Below are 27,739 nucleotides of genomic sequence, written 5' to 3'. Positions count from 1 at the left end.
GGAAAACAATTCTGTATCTTTTAGTAAATTTATAAATCTACCTATAATTTTACACCATAATTCACCTTCCAGAATTGTGTCTGAAACAGCTACTCACACATATGTATTAAATTTAGTTCATTGTAATCATTAATCTCTATCAGGCTTCTTCTGACACCACCCCGGTAAGGAGGGAAGAGGTACTTCATCACTTCCCAGGGGGGTGGAAGTCAAGGCTCCCCACATTTTATCTGTCTACAGATCAATTAACTCAGTGCTAAAGAGAGTGTGCCTTACCATCTGTTGAGGATAAAAGTCCCAGCTGTCTATTGAGACATCTCTGACAACATTAGGGGCACTTTGGGGTGACTCCTTACAGCCTGGAAAAGATAGAAATCTAGATTCTCAATTGGCTTTTGCTGTCATGGTGAGGATAATGATTGGCTGTAGTCCTGTGTCTGTTGTGTAAAAGTTTTCTGTATCATCAGCCTATCTCTCTTCTAGCACTTTATCTAAAGAAAGCAAGCTTTTGTTGAGGCTTTTTTTTTTTTTTTTTGTCAACACTTTTTGGCATTTCTGGATTGTGAGGTTCTCTAGCTACAGATCTGGGATTTATAAGGCAAAATCAAAACAAAACAAAACAGAAAACCAAACCCAGAGAAAACACTGTGTTGTTTCCTGGGTCCTGAGGTGCTTAACCAGTCTCTCATTTTCACCTTTCAGAACCTTCATATGTCTGTTTTATATGTAACATCAAGATTTTTAGTTATACTAAAAAGTTTAGTTATATTAAGAAACAAATAGGAATGATACGTCTACTCCATCTTCTCAGACACTGACATCCAACATAATGTTTAGACAATGATCTTCATAATCAGCGTATTTATTTTTGCCATAATTTGTTTCATTTCTTTTAATCTAATTATTTCATTCATCCTATAAATGTTTGTTCAGTTCCCAAACATGGGCCAGGTGTGGATTATGTGCTGCATTTACGTTATTGAGAGAGAGCCTAGTGGGAAAACAGATAATTACATATGAAGTATATAATTGCAGATAAATATTGTGGTAATTTGTTTTGCAGTAATAGTAACTAGAATATTACTGTATATTTTTGTGTTATTTTTATTACTTTCTCAAGCAATCAGTGTTTGAATACTTTTCATCTTCTACTTAGACTTATATAGCATTGCTTCCTGTAACACACAATCCTATTCTGCTTTGACAAAATATATTTTAAATGCAAAATTATTTATATAAACATAATGCATATCAGAATCAATTAGGAAACATGCAATATGTAGAACATAAGTGAATGGAAGAAGGGCTCATTTATCTATCTATATCTATATACCTATCTGTTAATCATGTATATATATAAATATGTATATAGGCGTAATGTATAGTACTGTATAATAATTTTGGTAATGAAGTAATTATGAAATTATGGAGTACCTAAAGATGGAGTTAATAATTTCTATCAAAGGATATACAAAAATAAATTTAAATGGGCAATTACCTATTAAGTAGGCTTTCTACTTAGTGTACCTTTTTTTTACTGTATGATGATTCCATTTATATAATATTCTGGTAAAGGCAAATCTATTAAGAACAGAGATCAAATCATTGATGAGTTGAGGGTAAGTAGAGGCATTGACCAAAACATTGCATGGAGGAAGTTTTTGGGGGTGATGAAACACTTGTATATCAACTGTGCTGTGATTACACAACTGTGCGTTTGTCAAACTATACAATACACTAAAAAGGGGGAATTTTACTGTATATGAACTGAGCCTTAAGAAGGAATGTACACTGTATTTTAGTTTATTTGCTGTATTTATTGCAAAATATTTTATTTAAAAAAATTTTAAGTTTCAATAGCTTTTGAGGTACAAGTAGTTTTTGGTTAAATGGGTGAATTATATAGTGGTGAATTCTGAGATTTTAGTGCACCCATCACCCGAGTAGTGTATGTTGTACCCAATATGTGGGTTTTTTTAATCCCACACTCCTCTCCCACCCTTCTGTTTCTGAGTCTCCAAAGTCCATCGCATTACTTTGTATGCCTTTGTACACTCATATCTTAGCTCCCACTTACAAGTGAGAACATATGGTATTTGGTTTTCTACTCCTGAGTTACTTCACTTAGAAAAATGGCTTCCAGCTCCATCCACGTTTCTGCAAAAGACATTATTTCATTCCTTTTTATGGCTGAGTAGTATTCTGTGGTGTATGTATACTACATTTTGTTTATTCACTGATTCGTCAGTGGGCATTTAGATTGGTACCCTCCCTTTGCAATTGTGAATGGTGCTGCAATAAACATACATGTGCATGTGTCTTTTTTATATAACGACTTCCTTTCCTTTGGGTAGATACCCAGTAGTGGGATTGCTGGATCAAATGGTAGGTCTACTTATAGTTCTTTAAGGAATCTCCATACTGTTTTCCATAGAGGTTGTACTAATTTACATTCACACCAGCAGTGTTTGTAAGCATTCCCCTATCACCACATCCACACCAACATCTGTTGTTTTTTGAATTTTTAATAATGGCCATTCTTGCAGGAGTAACTTGGTATCTCGTGGTGGTTTTAATTTGTACTTCTCTGATGATTAGTGATACTGAGCATTTTTTCATATGTTTGTTGGCCATTTGTATATCTTCTTTAGAGAAATGTGTATTCATGTTCTTTGCCCACTTTTTTATGGGATTATTATTATTTCTTGGTGATTTCTTTGAGTTCATTGTAGACTCTGGATACTAGTCCTTTGTTGGATGTATAGTTTGTAAATATTTTCTCCCATTCTGTGGGTTGTCTGTTTACCCAGATCATGATGATGATGATGATTATCATTATTATTGCTGTACAGAAGCCTTTTAGTTTAATCAAGTCTCATTTGTTTAGTTTTGTTTTAGTTGCATTTGCTGTTGGGGTTTTAGTCATGAATTCTTCGCATAGGCCAGTGTACACAAGAGTTTTTCCAAGGCTATCTTCTAGAATTTTTATGATTTCAAGTCTTAGATTTTAGTCTTTAATTCATCTTGAGTTAATTTTTGTATACAGTGAGAGATAAGGATCCATTTTAATTCTTCTGCATGTGGCTTGCCAATTTTCCCAGCACTATTTATGGAATAGGGTATCCTTTCCCCAATTTATGTTTTTTGTATGCTTCGTCAAAGATAATTTGTTAGTAAGTATTTGGCATTTCTGGGTTTTCTATTTTGTTCTATTGGTCTCTGGGTTTTCTATTTTGTTCTATCGGTCTCTGTGTCTACTTTTATACCAGTACCATGCTGTTTTGGTAACTGTAGGCTTTGTGTAAATTATTTGGACAACCAGATACTTTCTTATTTTTAAACCAGATTATTGAAAAAGTATAAAATGTTAACGGCTTTTTGGAAAACAATTTTGTATATTTTAGTAAATTTATAAAGTTACCTATAATTTTACACCATAATTAACCTTCTAGAACTGTGTCTGATACAGCTACTCACACATATGTATTAAATTATGGGCACAAAAATGTCAAAACAGCAATTTTTCTTTTTTTATTAATTTCGCATTGTTCATACTGTACTATGAAGCTTTTAAAGCCAATTAGATATATGTTAAATATTTACAAAATACATCCTCTAGGTATATTGCCAAAGATAAGAAATAAAATTGTAATTTATATACAGATATGTGTACTGTTAGGTAAATACATTATTCATGTAAATATAAATCTATGTTTACGTCTGCTTATATACATCCTTCAGTGCTACTTTACAATTACTTCTGAAAAGAATTATGTATCAACATTTTAGAAACTTTACACATATGCCCTTTGTGTATAAAATAAAGCATATAAATAAAAAAAGACATTATGATGACATATTCCTAAATTTTGAAGACCTATACCTTGCTTTTTTATGTTAAAGTCGTATAGAATGACATAAGAAGTAAAGCAAAAGTTAGATGCAATATTTAGGAAAGAGTTACGAAGGAAAAATAGTAAGACAAATATAATCAGGTTATGGGCCAGTCGCAGTGGCTCATGTCTGTAATTTCAGCACTTTGGGAGGCCGAGGCGGGTGGTTCACCTGTGGTCAGGAGTTCGACACCAGCCTGGCCAAAATGGGGAAACCCTGTCTCTACTAAAAATATAAAAATTAGCTGGATGTGGTGGTGGGCGCCTGTAATCCCAGCTACTCAGGAGGCTGAGGTAGGAGAATTGCTTGAATCTGGGAGGTGGAGGTTGCAGGAAGCTGAGATCACGCCATTGCACTCCAGCCTGAGCGATAAGGGCGAAACTTCATCTCTAAATAAATAAATAAGCAATAGTGACACAAAAATTATTGAATTGAATTGTGAAGTTGAACTCCTAGTCTGTGAGATTACTACACAAGGAGGACTTTTTGTAAAATGGTAACAAAGAATCATCTTGTTATTGTATTGTTCTACTAGAATTAAACGTCAAGTGTATAGTAAGGTTTCTTTTATATTTTGAGGTCTCTATTCTCTATTAACGTGATAGTACTACGAAACAAATGACAATATTAAGGATTAAAATTATCTCGTTTTATCTGATCAGTATATGAAAAAAGCTGTAAAAGTATGACCTTGTAAGGGTCTTCTGCCATTTCTTTTGCATAAAAAGTTTGGTAACAATTCCTGTTCTTAGAAAAAATTTGTTAATATTTAAACATATGGAATCCCGCAGTCTTGCTCAACTTACTGTTTAATTCCAATGTATTATCACAGGGAAAGGTTTTTAATATTTCACCACTAAGTATATTTGCTGCAGTTTTTGAGTTTTTTGGTGATTGGATGGTAAAATTTGTCATATTGTTTCTCTCTAATGTGATAGGGACATGATTTTGCCCTTTGTTTTGTTACAGTTGTTTGATACCAAAATGTTTATCCCATTAGAGTATGATTATAGAATATTACAGTTGAAGTACTTTTGGGTTCTGTTTGTCACACATGAGTTGTGTTTTGGCAAGTGGGGATGGGGGAGCCAGGGATTTGATGAGGGATATGTGTACATCATTGATTTTCCTCTCTTCTATTTTCCATATCATTTTGATGTAAAGTTTATAGGCATCTCACAAAGCATTTTGAGATAATGTTTTTATCGTTTCTATTACATGGAAAGGCTTGTGCAGAGTTTGTTTTATTTCTTTTGCCATTATATGAAAAAACTCACTACTTCAGGCACCAGTGCAAGGGATCCACTCATAGGAAGATATTTCACAATTTATTTACAGGATATAGGACAATTGAGGTTCTCTAACCATAAGGATGGTTAACAGAGGATGGAAAACTCTGTGTGTCCATGAGTTCAATCGTTTTGATTTTTAGATGCCACAAATAGTGAGAAAATGTGATGTTTGTCATTCTGTGCCTGGCTTATTTCATCTAACGTAATGGTCTCCAGTTCCATCCGTGTTGTTGCAAATGACAAGATCTCATTCTTTTTTATGGCTGAGTAGTACTCCATTGTGTGTATGTACCACATTTTTTTAATTCATCTGTTGATGGACACTTAGGTTGCTTCCAAATCCTGGCTATTGTGAACAGTGCTGCAACAAACATGGGAGTGCAGATATCTCTTCGATATTCTGATTTTCTTCCTTTGGGTAGACACCCAGCAATGGGATGGCTGGATCATATTGTAGCTCAATTTTTAGTTTCTTGAAGAACCTCCAAACTGCTGTCCATAGTTTTATTATTTTTTAAAGCTGTGTTTTCCTTGGATTTTTTTCTTTTTGTGTAATGTCAAGGTTCTTAGCATAAAGTTGTTTTTATACATGTATCACCAGGATATGACAAGAGGATTTTCTTCACATTGTTGATAATTAATGTCTTTTGCTACTTTTTCATTCCCCTTCACCTCCTTAGTCTTAGTAGGGGCTTGTGTTACTCTTTTCCAGAAAAAGTGGGTTTAAAATTTTCATTCCTCTTTGTGTATTTTAGAACATATCACAGATCATTTTATTGTTTCATTTCTGTTACTGGTTTCACATTGACTATCTTTTTTCCCAATATTTTGAGATAGATTTTGTGACCACAAATTTCAGGGTTTCTTATTTTGCGTTTATTGCTGCAAATATCCCTTTAGACATGCATATTGTATCTCACACTTTTAGTCGCTTTATTGATATATAATGATTTTAAGTAAACTTTACAACTTTAAATTGAGCAGTGTAAGTTTTGGCATATTTATTTGTAAAAACATCACCAGAAGTGATATAAGGTACATATGCTTCCCTCTACTCAAGTTTTCTTGTACAATTTTGTATTTCCCCCTCCAGTTTCTACTCAATACTTCCTCTTTTCCCATGATGTGTACATTATTGTACAAGTGTTTGTATGAACACATCTTTTTATTTTTCTTGGATGAGCATAAAGGAATGGTACAGCTGGATCACATGATATGTGTACCTTTAAATTAAATCAGAATATGTCATATGTTTTGGAAAGTGATTGTATTGTTTTACATCCTACCGGCAGTCACAGATGCTCTCCATCTTTGCCCTCACTTATACTGGTCATTATTTTTTATTGTAGCTCTTTTAATAGGTGCTTAGTGGTATCTCCCTCTTTATCTAAATTAGTGTAATAAAATCATAGTTTTTCCTTTCCCAATGCATGCGTAGTAAATGGAAAAAGAATAAATCACGATGGGGAGGGACAGTTTAAGGTGACACTTTGGAGCATAGTGAGGGTCTGGGTTCACCAATGGGCCTCTGCTAGTGTGGATGAGGATGGCGTTTGTCTGGCATAGAGCAGTTATTGTCTTTCTATGAGTTTTATCATTATTTTTTGTCTGTACCTTTTCTAGTCCTTTATCTAGAGAGAGCAGGCTTTTGTTGGAGGTGTTATGTTCTTTACTTTTTGGTGTTTTCTGCTCGCTGGGTTTTTCTGTATTAGGTATTGGATGCATGAGGCAGAAAGAAAATAAAACAAACAAAAGAAAACGTGGAAATTCCACTGTGTTGTTTCCTGGTTTCTAAGATAGCTATTCAGTTTTCCTTATTTTTTTCACCTTTCAGAGTCTTCCTATGTTCACTTTATTTGTAATGTCCAGGAATTTTTGTTACACTTAGGGGGATAAATAGGGAAAAATCTCCAACATTTTGGAAGCAGACATCATTTTCTTTTTTTACCAAATGATCTTTTAAACAAGCAGTGGATTTTTTTTTGTAGCCATCATTTGCTTAATTTCTTTCAATGTAGTTATTGCATTCATTCTATAAAGATTTCTTCAATTTCAAAGTGCCAAGTACGGATGATATGCTCTACTTACATTGTTGAGGGAACAACTTGTGGGAAAATAGACAAGTATATATAGAGTATATCAAAGAAAATAAGTTTTGTGATAATTTGTTATAGTAACTAGAGTATTAGCTGTGTATTTTTGTGTTATGTTTAGTAGTTGTTCAAAGGATTGATACTTAAATTCTTTACTCTCATCATCTCCATAGGCATAGGTAGTATCATTTCCTAGAAATGTAACCTCACTACAATTATATTTATTCCCCCTTTCCTTTGTCATCTTGTTATATAGTTCAGATCAATAATATTATTTATCACTTTTGTTTTAAAGAGCCAGCTATTTCTCAAATAAATAACTGAAAATATTAGTCTTTTATGTTAATGCACATGTTTCTTCTATCTAGTGTTCTTCACATCTTGTATATCTGTAGTTCTTAGTTTCCATCAGGTGTCGTTTCCATTTGGTCTGAAGAACTTCCTTGCTATTAGTGGAGTTGCATCAACCGAAAATGTCCTACCTTCCAGTACCTCAGACTGTGGCCTCATTTGGAAATAGCATCCTTGCATATGTGGTCAAGTTGAGATTATGTCATTAGAGTGGGCCCTAGCCCAATATGACTGGTCCTTATAAAAAGGGGAAATTTGGACATGCATAGAGACATGAATAGAGGGAAGTCTGTGTGAAGACACACACAGTGGGGTTGTCATATGGAGATGGAGGATTGGGGTGATCCATCTAAAAGGGAAAGAATGCCAAAGATTGCCAGCAAATCATTGGAACCTAGAGAAGAGGCAAGGAAGAATTCCCCTACAGATTTCAAAGAGAGAATGGCCCCACTGACACCTTGATTTCAGATTTCTAGCTTCCAGAACTGCGAGATGACAAATTTCTGTTTTTTCAAAGCCACCTAGTTTGTGATACTTTATTATAGAAACCTTAGGAAACAAATACATTCCTTTAACATTACCTAAAGTTTGGCTACTGAGAAATTTTCTCAGATTTGATTATCTGGATATGATTTATTTCACTCACAGTTTGGAAGAATAACTTTGTTGAATATAGAATTATGGTTTTAAGCATTGGTAAAATGATGCTCCTTTTTATTTGCTTCCCTGTGGATTCTGTGGAGAAGGCAGCCAATATTTAAATAGTCATTCCCAGGTAGGTCATGTATCTTTATTTCCTTGAAGTTATGGGTGGATATACATTTGTTCAATTCATGCAAATATTTTACATTTGACTGGTCACGGTGGCTCATACCTGTAATTCCAGTGCTTTGGGAGGCAGAGGTGGGAGTAATACTGAGAAGGGATCATTGTATTTTGCAATATGAGGACATGAGATTTGGGAGGAGCCGGAGCAGAATGATACAATTTGGATATTGTCCTCACCCAAATCTCATGTTGAAATGTAATCCTCAAAGTTGCAGATGGGGCCTGATGGAAGGTGATTGGGTCATGGGGTGGATTTCTCATGAACAGTTTAATAGCATCCCCTTGGTACTGTCTTCATGGTAGTGAGTTCTCACAAGATCTGGTCATTTAAGAGTGTGTGGTACCTCCTACCCCACACTCTCTTGCTCCTGCTTTCGCCATGTGACGTGCTTGCTCCCCCTTCACCTTCTGACTTGATGATAAGCTTCCTGAGGCCCTTCTAGAAGCAGATGCTGTTATGCTTTCTGTACAGCCTGTGGAATCACGAGCCAGTTAAACCTCTTTTGTCTATAAATTACCCAGTCTTGGCCGGGCACGGTGGCTCATGCCTGTAATCCCAGCACTTTGGGAGGCCGAGGCGGGCAGATCACGAGGTCAGGAGATTGAGACCATCTTGGCCAAAATGGTGAAACCCTGTCTATGCTAAAAATACAAAAATTAACTGGGAGTGGTGGCACATGCCTGTATTCCCACCTACTCGGGAGGCTGAGGCAGGAGAATAGCTTGAACCAGGGAGTCGGAGGTTGCAGTGAGCTGAGATCACGCCACTGCACTCCAGCCTGGAGACAGAGCGAGACTCCGTCTCAAATAATAATAATAAAAAAATTACCCAGTCTCAGGTATTTTCTTTATAACAATGCAAGAACAGCCTAACACACCTGGAGATGTCCTTTATAAGTATTTTATATCTAGCTAATTGGTCGGTTGTAAAAGCTACATAGTATTCACAGTATGAATGCAGGATAATTTATCAAATAATATTTAAGTTGGTGCAAAGCTATTATTTTTGCACCAACCTAAATAGCTGTTTTGACATTTTTTTTGTGCCCATACGCTAATGCACATGTGTAAGTAGCTATGTCAGATACAGTCCTAGATGGCAAGTCACTGTGTAAAACTGTGGGTAAATTCACAACTCTGTCAAAAAACAACAAATTACTTTCCAAATACTCATTACCACTTTATGCCCCTATGATACCCCAGTATCAAGATTTAAAAAGAGTAGTTTGTTGCTTAAATTACTTACACAAGGTATTAAGCAACCCTAGGATAGTATGCCGTCATATATTTATTTTTTGTATATTCTTTGATACATATTAATTCTGTTACATAGTCTGTTGTTTCATAATAATTACAATTCTGAACCAAAATTATACATTGACCATATATACATACATATTCATATATATGCATAACTTTTTGTTGCTTTCAATTATGTTCTATACATTGCATGGTACCAAATAGATTCTTATGCATACTATATGTCTTATATAAATCATTTTGCTATAAAATAAATTGTATTTATTAGAAGTATGGTAGATATAAAATATTTTGTTATAGTTAATACAAGTGTCATTTCATTACTCTTTACCAAGAGATTTTGGCTCTTCTCATACACTATCACATTCAGATCACTATTAGCATCAGATTAAAAATAATAATTTTAAAAGTTTTTGATATTTTTCTTGTAAATGTGCTGAAATTATTTTAATTTGTATGTAAGCAGTAGAGATGTATTTATACATTTTAATAAGAAACAATAGGGTTTTTTTGGTTATGGTATTTATCACACAGCATATTTCTGCTTTCCTTTATTTCCTGTTGTTGATCAAGTTAAAGTTTTTATATAAATGGAATCATTTTCATTTACAACATAGCTACTGAAAATTTGAAGTATTTCATTAGCAAACTATATATATGTTCCCTTACACAATTTTTTTTGGAGATGAGGTTTCACTGTCACTCAGGCTGGAGTTGGGTAGCACAATCATACTTCAGTGCACTCTCTAACTCCTGGATTCAAAGGATCCTCCTGCCTCAGCCTCTTGAGTAGCTGGGACTACAGGTGTACACCAGTGCACCTGGCTAATTTAATTTTTTTTTTTTTGGTAGAGACAGCATCTCACTATGTTTTCCAGGCTGATCTTATTGTATTGACAGTAGATCCAAAAGCCCAAAGAAGCTCACGTGAAAAATAACAAAAGTAAGAATTAAAAGCACATATTCTTATTTAGATACATAGAATATATCTGTGTTGATCATATACAAATTAAAATAATTTAAGCACGTACATAAGCAAATACAAAAATGATTGATAGCTGCTGATCTGTTGCTTATGTCAACGTGAAAAAAGAATGCATGAATAAAGAGCAAAAGTCTTGTTAAAAAATGAAATGACACCTTATTACCTATAGCATAAGAATTTATATCTGCTGTAATTATATAATATTTAAGAATCCTACTTTGGATAAACATTTTGAGTTCATATCAGAATCATTTCAATAATAGGAAAAATACAGAATGTAGATAAAAGCAACAAGTTCATGCATATAAATAACTTTCATATATAATAATATTGATGTTCAAATAATTATGGCTCTTTATCAAATTATTAAATGGAGACACTGAAAATAAACTAAACTCTATTTAGACGATGAGATAATTAAACTGGGTATCATAAATAGCACTGTAACAATGAATGCTTGTTTAATTGTTCCACTAGGATTAAACGTCGAGTGTATTGGAAATTTTATCTGTGATACAGGGCCCTCTGTTACCATGATTTAAGGAAAAAATGACAACAGAAATAGGGTAATAATGTCTCTTGTTTTATCTTGTAAGTGTATAGAGAAAGCCTTAAGTATTATCTTGTCCTGTAGGAATCCATCTCTTATGATGTGTATAAAAAGTTTAGTAACAATTGCTATACTCAGAGAATGTGTTTACATTTATCTAGATGGAATACAATAATCTTGGTAAACTAATTTAATTCTAATATATTACCTTTAGATTGCTTTCTCATAGTCTGTATGTGTAAACATGCTATATGTGAATAATGACAGCTTTGTTTTATCATTTTCAATTTTTATGCCTTTTCCCCCATTCTTGCATTATTGCCCCAGCTGTGACCTTCCTAAAATACTGAATAGAACTGATGATGGTAGACATTCTTAAGTCTTTTCGAATCTCAGGGGGAGACTTTAAGTATTTCACTACAAGAGTATGATATTTAGTGTATTAAACATTTTAAATTAATACTGTCTGGTAAATTTTTTCATATTTTTCTCTGTGTTTGCTCATGAGGTTAATTTTAATTTTTTAATTTTTTTTATTTTTGTGGGTACATAGTAGGTGTATATGTTTGTGAGGTATATGAGATGTTTTGATACAGGCATGCAATGTGAAATAATCACATCATGGAGAATGGGGTATCCATCTCCTCCAGCATTTATCCTTTGAGTTACAAGCAATCCAATTGCACTGTTTAAGTTATTTTAAAATATACAATTAAGCTGTTATTGACTATAGTCACCCTGTTGTGTGATCAAATAGTAGGTCTTATCCATGCTTTCTAATTGTTTTTATTTGTACCCATTAACCATCCCCACTTCCCCACAACCCTCCCACTACCCTTCCCAGCCTCTGGTAACCATCCTTCTACACTTTATATCCATGAATTCAATTGTTTTTATTTTTCGATACCTCTACTATGTACCCACAAAAATTAAAAATTGAAATTTAAAATTAAAAAAATGAGCTATGAAGCCATGGAAAGACATGGAAGAAAATGCATATTACTAAGTGATGGATGCTTATCTGAAAAGGCTGTATACTGCATGGTTCACGCTATATGATATTCTAGAAAAGGCAAAACTTTGGAGACAGTAGACAGATCAATGTGTGCCAAGAGTTGTGGGGAATGATGGGGCGAATAGGCAGGACAAAAGAATATTTAAGGCGGTGAAACTACTTTGTGTCATTTTATAGTAGTAGATACATGTCATTATGCATTTGCCAACACCCACAAAATGTACAACACAAAGAATGAACTCCAATGTAAACCATAGACTTTGGGTGATAATGATGTATCAATGTAGGTTCATCAGTCATAATAAATGTGCTACTGCAGTGGGAAGTATCGATGATGGGAGAGTTTATGCATATATGGGGACAGGGATATATGAAACCTCTATTTACTTTGCACTCTATTTTGCTGTGAACCTAAAATTTCTCTAAAACTAAAGTTTATTAGTAAAAAGGAACATGCCAGCCATGATGTTTCATGTCTGTAATCCCAGCACTTTGGGAGGCCGAGGTGGGAGGATCGCTTGAGCCCAGAAGTTCGAGATTAGCCTGGGCAACATAGTAAGATGCCTCCTCTACAAAAAATTGAAAGACTAGCTAGGCATGGTGGCCTGTGCAGGAGGATCGCTTGAGCCCAGGGGATCAAGGCTGTAGTGAGCCATGATTGTGCCACTGAGCTCCAACCTGGATGACAGAGTGAGACCCTGTTTAAGGGAAAAAAAAGAACAGTACAAATTTTTCCATATGTGTTTGGCATGTGTGTATGTGTATATATATACATATATATGTGTATATATATATATTTGTTGTTGTTAAGCCATCATCAAGGGCATGATAATGTACATATCCCTCCAGTCAAGTTTTGTGGTGCATGTTTGTATTTCTTCCTTCCTGGTTTTGGCTAATGCCTCTCCCTGTTTCATGATGTGTATACTCCTGTGCAAGTCTTCGTATAAACATTCTTTTTTCTTGTATAAATATCAAGGTTTGTGAATATCTGGATCACCTGATAGGTGTTTCTTTTAAAATAATTTTAGAATATGTCAAAGCATTTTACATTTTGGTTGTACCTTTTTACATTTTATCACCATATATGAGAGTCTCAGTTGCTCAACATCCTTGCCAGCACTTGTTATGGTGATTATTTTTAATCACAGCCCTTCAAATAGGTGTGCAGTAGGTGTGCAGTGGTGTCTCATTATCTATTTATATTGTACGGGTTACTAAGTCATAATTCTTTCTTTCTCAAACATCCCCAGTAAATGGAAACAATGGATTACCATTGAGGGTGGATTGTTATCACTCATTATAACCTGCGGGGGTGTTGGGGGGGTGGAAGTCTAGGTTCTCCACTGGGATTTTGCTGATGTGGGTGAGGATAGGTTTTGGCTGGAGTAGAGTGGCTATTGTGTAAAAATTTCTGTCTTTTTATTGTTTCTTTTTTAATCCTTTGTCTAAAGAAAGCAGGCTTTTTGAAGATGTTTTGTTTTTGCACCCTTTGGTGTTTTCAGGTTGCCGAATTTATCATCTCCATGTCTGGGATGTCTGAGGCAAACACAAAACTAACAAAAATAGCTGGGAAATCACCACTAGGTTGTTCCATGGGTCCTGAGGTCCCTTCCCAGCCTACCTTCTTCTCTTCACCTTTCAGAGTCTTGTATTTGTTTTACATATAACATTCAGGGTTTTCAGTTATACTTACTGGGGAAAAAAAGGTAAAGTCTGTCTACTGCATCTTTTTGGAAGTATATATGCAAGAATTTTAGCCAAATGATTTTCACAAGCAGTGAATCTTTTTAAGCCGTAATTTTCTTAGTTTATTTTGACATAATTATGTCACTCATCCCATAAATGTTTCTTCCATTCCCAACATGTGCCAGGTGTGGACCCTGTGCTGCAGTTTATTACTAAGGCAGAGCCTAGTGGAAAAAACAGACAAATGTGTATGGAGATTATTATAGAAAATAAGTTTTGTATTAATTATGTTATGCACTTTTAGTGTAAATAGGATATTTCCTATATGTTTTAGTGTTATATTTAGTGGTTGTTGAAGGGATTGTTATTTGAATTATTTACTTGCCATGCTGTTTATAGAATATATATATAGGATCACTTCCATTAAATGTAACCTCAGAACACTATAATTCTTTTATTCCCCCTTTTTTATCTTCTTATTTTATAGTTTACATATCAAATACCATTTGTAATCTTGCTTTAAAGAGTGAGTTGTCTTCCAAAGAAATGATAGAAAATTTAGTCATATACGTGCATTTATCCACATTATTTCCCTATCCAGTAGTCTTTGTTTCTTTCTGTAGTACTGTTTCTATCAAGTGTCATTTCCTTTTTGCCTGAAAAACTTCTTTTAGTAATACTTGTGTTCCAGGTTGGTCAGAGACCAGTTGTCCGAGGCTTGTTTATATGAATGTATCTTCTTTCACTCTCAGTTTAGAAGGATAATTATGCTGGATATAGATTTCTGGGTTGATTGTTTCATCTTTTCATTCAGCATTGGAAAGGTGCTGCTTCATTTTTTTTTTTTTTTTTTTGGTTCTCCATGTATTCTGTTGAGAAGGTAGCCAACATTTAGTCATTGTTTCTGGGTGGGTAATAATGTATCTTTATTTCTTTGAAATTTTTGATGGATAGATATTTTTCAATTCATTAAAATGTTTTATATTTTATGTCAATGTCAAACACAGTTTATTAATAAAGTATTTTAAAAAATTTAATGACTTTTGTCAATGAAAATTATTCGATATATGTTTCCATATGTGTTTAAAAAAGGATGATTTTTGTTGATAATAACAAAAATCAGAAGCAAAAAAACCTGCATTAAGTGTAGCCCAAATCTATCTTTTATTTCCTATTAAAATATATGAAAGTCTCTGGACAGATAATATACAAATTAAAAGAATTTAAGCATACTCACAAACAAAAGTAAAAACGTTTGTTAATATAATTGCTGATTTGAAGCTAATGTTTACTTGGATGAGAGTATGAAAATAGTTAAAATCTCATGGTAAAAATAATGAAGTGACACTGACACTGTATTAACTATCACAAAATATTTTATTTTATATCTACTGTTCTTACACAATATTTTGCTTTGGCGAAGTATTTTTATGTGGAAAATGATTTATATGTCATACCTATCAGAATCAAATTGCTACCAGGCAATATATATAACATAAGTGAAAGTATTAATAGTTTATACACACATATACATATAAATATGTATATGTATGTATCTATATGTGTGTGTTAATGTAAACTAATGTTAGTATTCAGATTATCTTGAAGTATTGGACTGTTGAGAAAATGGAATTATTAACATGCATTTAAGGATATACAAATATAAATATATTTTTCTTGAATTAGCATTAAAGAATGAAATGGCTGCATTACATGCTTCATACATTTTAGTTTATTTTGGAATATGTCAAAATATTTTGCAATGTGATTATACTGTTTTCCATAATACCAGCAGTAAATGAAAGTCACAGTAGCTCTACATCCTTGCATGCACTTGGTACGGTTAGTATAGTCTTTTTAACCATAGCTCTTCTAATAGGTGTGCAGTTGTATTTCATTGTTGCTCTGAATTGTATGGTTCTGAGTTCTTTTTTTGAAGACATCCCCAGTAAATGGAGAATATAGATCACAGGCTTGAAGCTCTTTCTGTACCATTCAAATTTTGCAAATGTGATTTTTTTATTGTTTGCGAAAATTTGTGTATGATTACTGTAAAATAATTGGAAGCTCTAGGTGATTTTATCTTCCTCCAGGGAACATTTTATTTTGCTTCCAACAGGCCATTAAGATGGGGGCAATTCATCTCATTGCAATCAAGATTTGAGTCTTTTTGAAGCTAGGTGTTTGGTTTTGTGAGTAGTTTTCTATTTCTTATTCATAAGGACACTTAGGACATAGTTCCTCAAGTCTACATCTAATGAAGTCTTGTATTTCCATATCCTCTCCTCCTTGGGGGTGGCGGGGCGGGGACTGGAATTCTCTCTGTGTCTCATGGGCTGGTGAGTCTGCTGGAAATATCACTCATTCGCCTTGTTTCTCAGCTACACCTTTCTGCTTAGAAACTTGATTTCAAACTTCTCATTTGAGGAGGGATATCTTGTGGGGAAAAAAGTACCAAATTTGCTTCTCACCCCTTTTTCTATTCTTTTACTTGAGATCTTGTCTCTTCAATGTTGCTTATTTGGGTTTATGATAACTTAAAACGATGTCTTCTATATTTTCCATCTTTCAGAGTTTTTCTTGATAGAGTGTTTGGGCTGAAACATCTGGTCTGACATTGCTAAAAGGAAGTATCTCCAAAAACACTTTCGTAAATATATTTTACTTTGTATGTGTTTTGCCTGCTCTCTTGAATTAACCCAATCTGTAAATTAAGGAGATAAACAATTTTAATTAAACTTCCTATTTGGGATAATTGTACATTCACTTTCAAATAAAAGAAATAATATAGACATATACCATGTGCCCTTTACCTATTTCCAGTGAATATTAACATCTTGCAAAAGTATAGTACAATACCTACATCAGGATATTCACATTGATACAGTTAAGATATAGCACATTTCTATCACCACAAAGATGCCCTTTGTTGCACTTAAAGGCACACCTTCATCCCTGAATTCTGGCAGCCACAAATATGTTCTTCATTTCTATACATTTTCATTTCTAGGCTATTATATAAATATAATCATACTGTATGTGACCATTGGGATTGTCTTTTCTCAGAATACATAATTCTGTAGTGATTTATCCAGGTTGTTAGATTAGTACTTCCTTTTCCTTTCTGAGTAGTATTTCATGGTACACATGTACCACAGTTTGTTTAACCATTCACTCTTTGAAGATTATTTTCTTATTGCTAGTTTCCAGAGGAGACTAATAAATCTGCCATCAACATTTGTGTACAGGTTTCCATGTGAACATAATCTTTATTTTTCTGGGGTAAATATCCAAGAATGCAATGGGTGTATTCAAGTTACTCCCTTGCCCTCTCTTTACTAACGAGTGGAGAATGCTCCTTGTTACTGCTGAGCAAGGTTGGGAGTTCTGACGCCCCATTAGGCCTCCACTAATTTCTCCCTGATAGGAGAAAGAGGAATGTCAAGTTACAGTTCCTTTTGTGTACTGCAGTGACACTCATGCAGAGTGGTTTCCTTACCATGAGTTGCAATGGAAGTCATTAATCTCTACTAGATCTCCTCTGAGACCACTCTAACAAGGAGGGGAAGGTTACCGTATTACTTCACTTCCCAGACAGTGGAAGTCCATTCTCCCCAAATGTTGTCTATTGACACTGTCGTGCAGGAGTCCTTGTTATTGCCCAGCAGGCATGAAAGTCCTAGCTCACTACTTGGTTTTCTCTGACCTACATCATAGGGTAGGCAGTTAGGGGTGACTAGTTACAGCATAATAAGTGTGGGAGCATAGGCTCCTCTCATGGTCTTTGCTGGCATGAGTGAAAATAGGATCTCCATATTGTCTGTCATACCAGCTGAAGTAGGATGCTTATTTTCTTAAAGTTTTCTGTTTTGTTTTAAGCTGTCCTTTTCCTTTTCTTTTGACTAGAGAGATTAGGCTTATTGGCGAAAAGGGAGGAATTTTTTGTAGGCACCCTTTTTTGTTTAAAGGTTGCCAGGTATGTCAGCTTTATTCTGGGACATATGAGGCAAAACCAAACAAACCAAAACACAGCGACAAAATTAAAAACAAAAGCAGAGAAGTCACCATCCTATTGTTTCTTGGGTCCTGAGGCCTCTAGCCAGTCTTCCTTCCTGTCTCCACCATTCAGAGTTTTGTAATGTTTGTTTTATGTATAACATCCAAGGTTTCTAGTTATACTTAGAGGGCAAAATAGAGAAAAAAATTATGTCTACTCCATCTTCTTGAGGCGTCTTGAAGCAGATGGCCAACAATTATTTTAGTCAAGTGACCTTCAAAAATAGTGGATTTTTTTGCCATTAGTTGCTTAATTTATTTCAAGCTAATTATTTCATTCATCCCATAAACGTTTTTAAATTCCCAACATATGTGCCAGATGTGGACCATGTACCGAATTACATTATTGAAGGAGAGGCTAATGGGAAAATAGACAAGTAAATATGAAATGTATAATAGAAGATAACTCTAGTGGTAATTTGCTACCCAGTAATATAACTAGAATATTACCCATATCTTTTTGTGCTATTTTTTGAACTCTTTACTTTTCACGTTCTACTTGCAATTATATAGCATCACTGCCTGTAATATCCATACTCTTCTGCTTTGGCAAAATATGTTTTACATACAAATGATTTATATGAAGATAATACATATCAGAATCAATTAGGTACCATGCAGTATATATTAATAGAACATAAGTGTTTACATACTATTATCTGTCAATAATTGGTTGAATACCAAAGTTATTAAACATTAAGCCCATAATTTTTGCAATCATGTAATTATAAGTAAATAATTAACACATGGAATTAGTAACATCCATCACAAGGTATACAAAAAATAAATATAAATGCCTTACACTTAATGTATGCTTTACACATAATGTAAATGTGTAATGCAGTTATAATAAGTAGAATATTATTTGTACTTTTTTGTGTTATGTTTGCTGCTTGTTCAAGGAATCTGTATTTGAATTTTTTACTTTCATGTGGTCTACTTAGATTTAAATATATTTATTTTCTGTAAATATAATCTTACAACAGGACATTTCTATTTATTCCCTTTTCCTTTGTGTTCTTGTTGTATTGTTTGCATCTAAAATATCATTTATCACATTGCCTTAAACAATCAATAGTCTTTCAAAGAAGTAATAGAAAATGTTAGTCTTTTCTAATTAGGCACATACTATCCCGTGCTCTTTTTTCCTTCCTATGGTTCTTAGTTTCTATCACATGTCATTTCCCTTCAGCCTGAAGAACTTCCTTTGGTATTGCTTGTGTTACAGATTGGCCAGTGACACATTCTCTTAGGTTTGGTTATATGCCTTAGTCATTCTCAGTTTGAAAAGATAATTTCACTGGATATAGAATATAGATTGAAAGTGCTATCATCTTTTCCTTTGTAATTGGAGGGATTCTGCTCCATTTTCTTTACTTTTCCATGGATTTTGTGGAGAAGACAGCCATCATTTAAATCATTGTTCCCAGTGAGATAATGTACACTTATTTCATTGAATATTTTAGTGACTATACATTTGTTAAATTCACTAATATACTTTATATTTCAAACATGCCCAATATATAGTTTATTAGTAAATATTTCAAAAACTTAACCAGCTATTTTAACAATGAAAATTATTCTGTTTATAAGAAATTAGTTTATTTAATCAACAAGAGAAAAAAAAGCAAAAAAAGATGCATGCAAAGCACCAAAAACTCCATTATTGTTAAAATATCTAAAAATATCTTTACAGGTATATACAAATTAAGATAATTTAAGCACATTCAGAGACAAAATATGAAAAAAAGTTTGTTATTACAATTTCTGATCATACCTGGATGTGATAGTATATGAGAGGAGCCATAATCTCCTGATTAAAAAATAATAAAAATGAAAAAAATTAGCTGGGCATGTTGGTGCACATCTGTAGCCCAGCTACTTGGGAGGCTGAGGCAGGAGAATTGCTTGAACCCAGGAGTTCAAGGCGGCAGTCAGCTATAATGGCATCATTGCACCCTGGCCTAGGTGGCAAAGTGAGACCCTGTTTCTAGAAAAAAATTTTTTAAAAAAGAATATTGATGTGACACTTGTATTAACTATCACAAATATTTTATATCTAATGTGCTTATAAAATATACAGTATTTTTCTGCCTTGACAAATATATTTTATATGGAAAAATAAATACAGTAAAATATCACAGTCAAAGGAATATGTAATATATAGAATATAAATTAACATGAATTTATGTATATATGTGTGTATAATATGTATGCAGTCTATAACCTCTCTCTCTATATATATATATAGATGATTCCTTATATATATATGAAATAGACTTCTGTTTCTTAAAGTCTATCATAATGATTTGAACACGAAATTATTTGAATAGTTTTATATATATATAATATATATAGAATTAGTAGTTTGTATCCAAGATATAAGGACAATAAATATAAATGGGTCACTAGTATATTAAATATGCTTAATACTTAATGTAAAAATTTTAATTAATGAGATAACCCTTTTTATCTTGTTAGCAGATTACTGAAAGAGTACAAAATGGTAGAGTTTGCGGAAGTTTTCTTTTTTAGTTAGATCGTAAACTTACCTATGGTTTAGATAGTAATTTTCCTTTACTGTATCTCACAAAAGTTACACATGTGCATTAAAATATGGTCTAAAAAGGCCAAAAAATGGCACTGAATTGCTTACTTTCAAGTGGTTAATTTTATTATATAATTTCACCTCATTTTTTAAAAAGCTGAAAGGACAAAAAAGGCAAAACCCAATTTTTTGTTTTTGTTGTTTTTAAAAGCTTTTAATTTCTGGCAGTTCTTTTTAACACACAGCAATTGTCACATTTTCTTTTTAGATATTATTTTTTATAATGATATTTATGAAGAGATAATTGGATTCAGTAGCAATCATGGAAATGTAAAAACAACCATAGCAGATATTTTTCCAAATATACAAATATTATAGTGAATAATAATGTCCAACCTTCACAAAAATTGTGAAGGGAAAACTACCCTCAGACGTAGGAGATGGGTTTCTAATTTTGCAACATTTCTGTGAACAATTTGGCAGCAACCATCAAATTAAAAATGTGTTCATAAACCTACAAGAGGACTATATAAAATTCTGAAAATTATTCAGGATATATATTTCAAGGAAAATTTAAGTATAATAACAGAATGATTCTGTGATGTAATAAGTATCTACCTATCTGTTTAAATTTACATATAAAAATACTCTAGGAGGATACACATTATTTGGCTAATAACGATTACCTGCTGATAAGTGAGAGTGGGGAAGGAAGGGCCAGAAATTATCTGAAATCATAAAGAAACAAAAATACATACCTTTTTGGGGTAGGCAGAAAAACAGCTTCTCAAAGATGTCCACGTGAAAATCCTCTGACTCTGCGAATATATTATTTTACACAGCAAACGGAATTTGGCAACTGTGATTTAACTGAAGATCATGAGATGGAAAGATTATTATCTGTGTGCATCTAATATAATCACAAAGGACCTTAAAATGTGAAAGAGGAAGATAGGAGAGTCAGGGTCAGCGATGATGTGAATACAGAAGCAGAGGTCACAATGGTGTGAGAAAGACACATCTGGCTTTGAAGATAGAGGGACGATGTGCCAAGGAATGCAGGAAGCCTCTAAAAGCTGAAAAAAGCAAGAAGTAGATTCTTTCCTGCTGCCTCCAGAAGAAACAAACCCCTTCAGACGCCTTGATTTTTGCCCCATAATACCCTTTTTAACCTTTTGACTCATAGAAATATAAGATAATAAATTTGCTTTGTTGTAAGCCACTAAGTTTGTGGTAAGCAGTAAGGCAAAACCCATTTTTTAACTAAATTATGCTGTGTTTGTAGTATTAATACTATGCACTATACAATTATTTAAAATATTAAATATTTATATATCTACAAGACAAATTGCTAATAGAAAGCAAATTCTAATTTACTTACAGGCATGTGTACAAATATTTAAATATATGATTCATTTAAATACATATGTATTTTTATATACACACTATAGTGCTAATCATAATTGCTTTCAGAAAGCATATGCATTGGCATTTTCTGAAAATTTTACAATGAGCACATCATATGCAATTGTATGCGATAAAAGATATAAGTAACAAATAGTCATGTGATGACTTATTACTAATAATAGTTTGAAAGATCTACGCTGATTTTATTTCAAAGTAGTACACAATAGCATACGAAATTAGTGGGGTGTTTTTTGTTTTTTGCTTTTCAAGACAAGGTTTCTCTGTCACCCAGGCTGGAGTGCGGTGCTGACATCATAGCCCACTACAGCCTCGAACTCCTGGGCTCAAGCTATTCTCCCACCTCAGCCTTCCGAGTAGATAGTACAGGCACGCACCACCACAACTATTTTGTTGTTGTTGGTGGTGGTTTTTTTGTTTGTTTTTTGTAGAGATAGTGTCTCGTTATGTTGCCCAGGCTGGTCTTGAACTCCTGGCCTCAAGCAGTCTTCCCATGTTGGCCTCCCAAACCTCTCACAGGCATGAGTCACCAGGCCTTGCCAGAAGTTAGTCTCATACACAGATTTAGAAAAGAGTTAAAAAGAAAAACATATGCTGAGAAATAATACAAGAAAAGATATGTGGAGAAAAAAATAAATTGGGAATCACTGAAAATAGGCTGAACCTGTGGTGAGTCAGTGAGCTCATTAAACAATTGGCCATAGGTAAAATTGTCACACATAATGCTTTTTATTGTTCCACTTAGATTCTAAGTATCAAATGTATTGCAAATTGTGTCTTACATACCGGGGAGCTTCTGTTAATAAGATACCAGAGCATCTGTTACCATGTTATCAGAAAAAATGATGACAGTAATCAGGATTATAATAACTTTAAAGTTTTATCTGATAAGTATATAGAAAAAATATGGCCTTATTTTGTAAGGTATTCATGCCATTTCTTATATTGTGTATAAAAGTCTAGTAAGAATTAATATTCTTAGAACATTATGTTTAACTGAATGGAATCCAACAAATCTGCTAAATTATCTAAGAAATTCTAATGTTATTACCTACAGGTTCCTTTTAGCTTATAAACATCATCATGCTCTTTGTGAATAAAGTTGATTTCATTTCTCCCTTACAAATTTTTATATATATTGCATTTCTGTCCTGTTGTAAGATTACATTTACAGGAAATGACCTCTATAAAATGTTGAATAGAACTGGTGATGGTAAGTATCCTTTTCTCATTCCTGATCTCAGGGAGAAGGTTCTCAGTATTTCAACACTAATCATAATATTCTCCAGTTCTTCAGGTTATTTTTTAAATAATAAGTGACTGGTAAAATTTGTCAAATGGTTTCTCTATATTGATATGACAAAATTACGTTCCTTTTTGTTAAAATTGGTTGGTATCTAAGTGTTAAATCTACAATAACTCAGTTTTTTATTAAACGCAAATTGTTCAGGTTGCATGAACAGTGCTGTAAGATACATCATGTCTGATGTATGTTAGTATTTCGTTTGTCAGAAATAAATTTGTTTTTTTTCCAGAGGTTTTGTAAACAATGATAAATGTAAAGAAATCACAGTAATTTTTGTTGTTACTGTTTACCACAAGAGATATAAAGCGAAGCTTATCTTCTCTTATAATGTGCTTTATAGTTTTGTGTAAAATTTACACAGATCTCATAAAACATTTTGGGGTGTGCCTTTGCCCTTTCTATCCTGAGGAAGATCTTGTGTAGAATTGATTTTATGTCTTTCTTCGTTGTATGGAAAAGTTCATGGCTTAGGGAACCAGGAAATGGAAATTATTTTTAGGAAGGATTTTTCACTAGGCAAAATTTCATTGATTGATATTGGACTATTTGCATTTCTTAAGGGTTTTGATCTTATATGTGTTTAACTCTGAATTTCATCATTTTGTGTAATTTCAAATATATTGAAATGAATCTGCTCATATATTATGTGTACATTTCCAGGTTTAGTAAAAATTATCCCGTCTACATTCTGCGTATTGGTAATGTGAGCCTTCTTTGCTTCTTGAGCAGTATCTTCATTTATTTATTTATTTCACCATTTTATAAAAATGAAAACCAACTTTTTTTTTTTTTTTTTTTTTTTGGAGACAGAGTCTCACTCTGTCACCCAGGCTGGAGTGCAGTGGCGCGATCTCGGCTCACTACAACCTGCACTTCCCAGGTTCAAGCAATTCTCCTGCCTCAGCCTCCCGAGTAGCTGGGACTACAGGCACCCACCGCCACGCCTGGCTAATTTTTGTATTTTTAGTAGAGACGGGGTTTCACCATATTAGCCAGGCTGGTCTCAAACTCCTGACCTCATGATCCTCCCGCCTTGGCCTCCCAAAGTGCTGGGATTACAGGTGTGAGCCACCACGCCAGGCTGAAAACCAACTTTTGAATGTGCAGATCTTCTCTTTGTAATTTTGTTCAAAATTTCTTCTCTTATTTTTGTGTTACTGTTTCATTTGTATTATTTTCTATACTAAATTACCACTTGTTTTTCATTTCTTTAAGGCTGATTATCAGATCTTAAATTTTCCACATTTCTTCTCCTGCATTAAGTGCTGTATAATTTCCTTTAGACATATATTTTGGTACATTCTATACACAGTTTGTGACAGTTTCATGAAGACATATTTGACCTAAAATAATCTGGACAACATTTAAATTAACAATATAAGTGTTAAAATGGGCATATACTTGTGAAACAATATCCACAATCAAGAAAATGTGAACATCTCCCACATCCAAGATTCCTTCAGCATTTTTATATTTCTCCCTTCTTAGTCCTGCTCAAGCCCCAACCCCTTTCCCGTGAGTTAAAAATTCCTACACATGTCTTTGTATGGACATGTAATTTTATTTTGCTTGGATATGCTTCAAGGAATGGAATGGCTGTAGCATATGATTGGTGCATCTTTAAATTATTTTAGAAAATGTCAAAGTGTTTTGCTGTATGATTACACCTTGGTACACCCGACCAGCAGTATGTGAGACTTGCAGTTGCTCTGCATCCTTGCCAGCACTCGCAATGGTCAATATTATTTTTTATTGTATAAATTTAAGGTGTACAACATCATGGTCGGTATTTTTAACTGTACCTCTTCTGAGTGTATAATGATATCTCGCTGTCGCTCTAAATTACATGGATGTAACTAAGTCATTGTTCTTTCTTTCCCAGGCATACCAATAAACGGAGAAAATGGATTGCAGGCCTGATGCTAATCCTTTAATTCCCATTTATATCTTGCATGTGTGATTGTTTTGTATTGCAATCTGAATTATCTGTATTAAATACTATGGAGATAATTGGAGGCCAGCAGTTATATATAATACTTTTGCTTTTGAGAGCCTGTTAACGTGGAAACAGTTTACCTCATAGCAATCAGGAATTGAGAACCTGGGTCTCAGATTTTGTCAGGAATGTTCTCTTTCTGACACACATAGACATTTAGGTCATAGCCCCTCAGGGTTGACAAATGAACCACTGTGTTTTTCAGAACCTCTTCTCATTGGTGCACCCTCAGGTCCAAGTGTGTCTCCTGGGATGGTGAAACTGCCGAAAGCTCTCACCAGCTGCTTAACTTCTCAGCTTCAACTTATTGCTTAGTATCTCGGCTTCTCATTCACCTTTGAATTAGCAAAACTGTCGAGCATAAAAGGGGTACCAAATTTGAGTATCCCCACTTGGAATTATCTTCTAATTCAGACCCTGTCTCTTTAAATAATTATTTTCTTGCATTTGTGGTGCTTTCTAACACGTGTTTGAAGCTTCCCTTTCCCAGTTTTTCTCAGCGTGGTTGGGCTGTAAGATCTGTACAACCACTATTTCATAAAATATGTTTATAATTTGTAGTCGTTTTTTCCTATAGCTAATTACCCGTATACACATATATATAGGGGTAATTATGTATAATATATAACATATGTATATAATACATAATTATATATTTATATAATATATAATTATATATCTTTATATGTAAACATAAATATATATATATAAAATCTATATTTCATATAAATATGTTGAAGGGATCTTGGATGTGTGAGCTAGATGTTCACATGTTCTTTTTTCTTTTCTTTTCTTTTCTTTTCTTTTTTTTGGAGACAGAGTCTTTCTTTGTTGCCCAGGCTGGAGTGCAGTGGTGTGATCTTGGCTCACTGCAACCTCCGCCTCCTGGGTTCAAGCGATTCCCCTGCCTCAGCCTCCTGAGTAGCTGGGATTACAGGTGTGTGCCACCACGCTCGGCTATTTTTTTTTGTATTTTTAGTAGAGACAGGGTTTCACCATGTTGGCCAGTCTGGTCTCGAACTCCTGACCTCAGGCAATCCGCCCACCTCAGCTTCCCAAAGTGCTGGGATTACAGGCGTGAGCCACCACGCCCGGCCCACATTTTCTTCATTGTGGATATTGCTTCACAAGTGTACACACATGTATATATATTATATATATAAGTACATATATATGGTGTATATATATATATATATCTTGTGTGTGTGTATGTGTGTGTGTGTGTGTGTGTGTGTATATATATATATATGTAAATTTATTTCAGGGCAAATAATTGTCCCAAGGAGAGCATCATTTTTCATTTCATTCTACTTCATTTAAATATTTCATTATTTACTCCATAAATATTTCTTCAGTTCACAACATGTGCCTGGTATGGACCATATGATGTTAGTGCTTCATCGACGTACAACCTAGTGAAAAAAAAATGAGTAAATAAGAAGTATTCATTAAAGATAAACTTGGGGATAATTTTCTGTGTAGCCACAGTACTAGAAGGAACTTACACCTTCTTGTATCATACTTAACTCTTGCTCCAAGAATTGGCATATGATTCTTTATATTATTTTGGTCTACTTTGAATTATGATAATACCACCCCATGTAAATATAGCCTCACAACACTACATTTTGACTAATCCGCTTTCATTTATGCTATGTCTTATATTTCACATATACAATACTATTTACCATTTTTGCTTCATAGAGTCGGATACATTGCAAAAGTAAAGAATAGTTGTCTTTTTCCCTCTCCAGTGCACCTCTTACCTTCCTGTAGTTCTTAATTTCCATGAGGTGTCGTTTTCTTTCATCCTGAAGATCTTGCGGTATTACTTATATTTCAGGTCATCCAGCAACAAATTGTCTCAGGTTTGATTGTGTGGATGTGTCTTATTTCAGTCTCAGTTTGGAAGGATAATTTTGCTAGATGGTTTTGAGTTGACGGTCTTATTATTTTTTTCCTTCGACATTGGAAAAATTCGGCCACATTTTCTCCAGTCTCCATGGATTCTGTTGAGAAGCAAGCCATTATTAGTGCGTTCCTGCATTTCTATAGATATACCTGAGACTGGGTAATTTATAAGGAAAAGAGGTTTAATTGGCCCACGGTTCCATGGGCTGTACAGGAAGCATGGTGGCATCTGCTTCTGGGGAGGCCTCAGGGAGCTTTGACTCATGGTAGAAGGCAAAGCAAGAACAGGAGTCTTACATGGCAGGAGTAGGATCGAGAGAGAGGGGAGGTGTTACACACTGTTAAACAACCAGATCTCTTCAGAACTTAGTCACTATACAGTACCAGAGGGGATGGTACTAAACCTTTCATGAGAACTCTGCCCCCATGTTCCAATCACTGCCCACCAGGCTCCGCCTCCAAACTGGGGATTGCAGTTGAACATGAGATTTGGGTGGGAACACAGATCCAAACCATACCAGAAGCCATCATTCCCAGGTA

The 27,739-nt window shown here is 34.1% G+C and overlaps 1 long non-coding RNA gene across 1 annotated transcript in view; it reads left to right on the top strand.

The window, feature by feature from the left end:
• LOC105373150 (uncharacterized) overlaps positions 1 to 27,739 on the top strand; it is a 246,359-nt gene that overhangs the window by 26,766 nt on the left and 191,854 nt on the right. The gene's annotated exons all lie outside the window — the stretch shown is intronic.

Source organism: Homo sapiens, chromosome X, assembly GCF_000001405.40.
Source record: "Homo sapiens chromosome X, GRCh38.p14 Primary Assembly".
NCBI lineage: Eukaryota > Metazoa > Chordata > Mammalia > Primates > Hominidae > Homo > Homo sapiens.
This window is presented reverse-complemented; position numbering and strand designations above follow the sequence as displayed.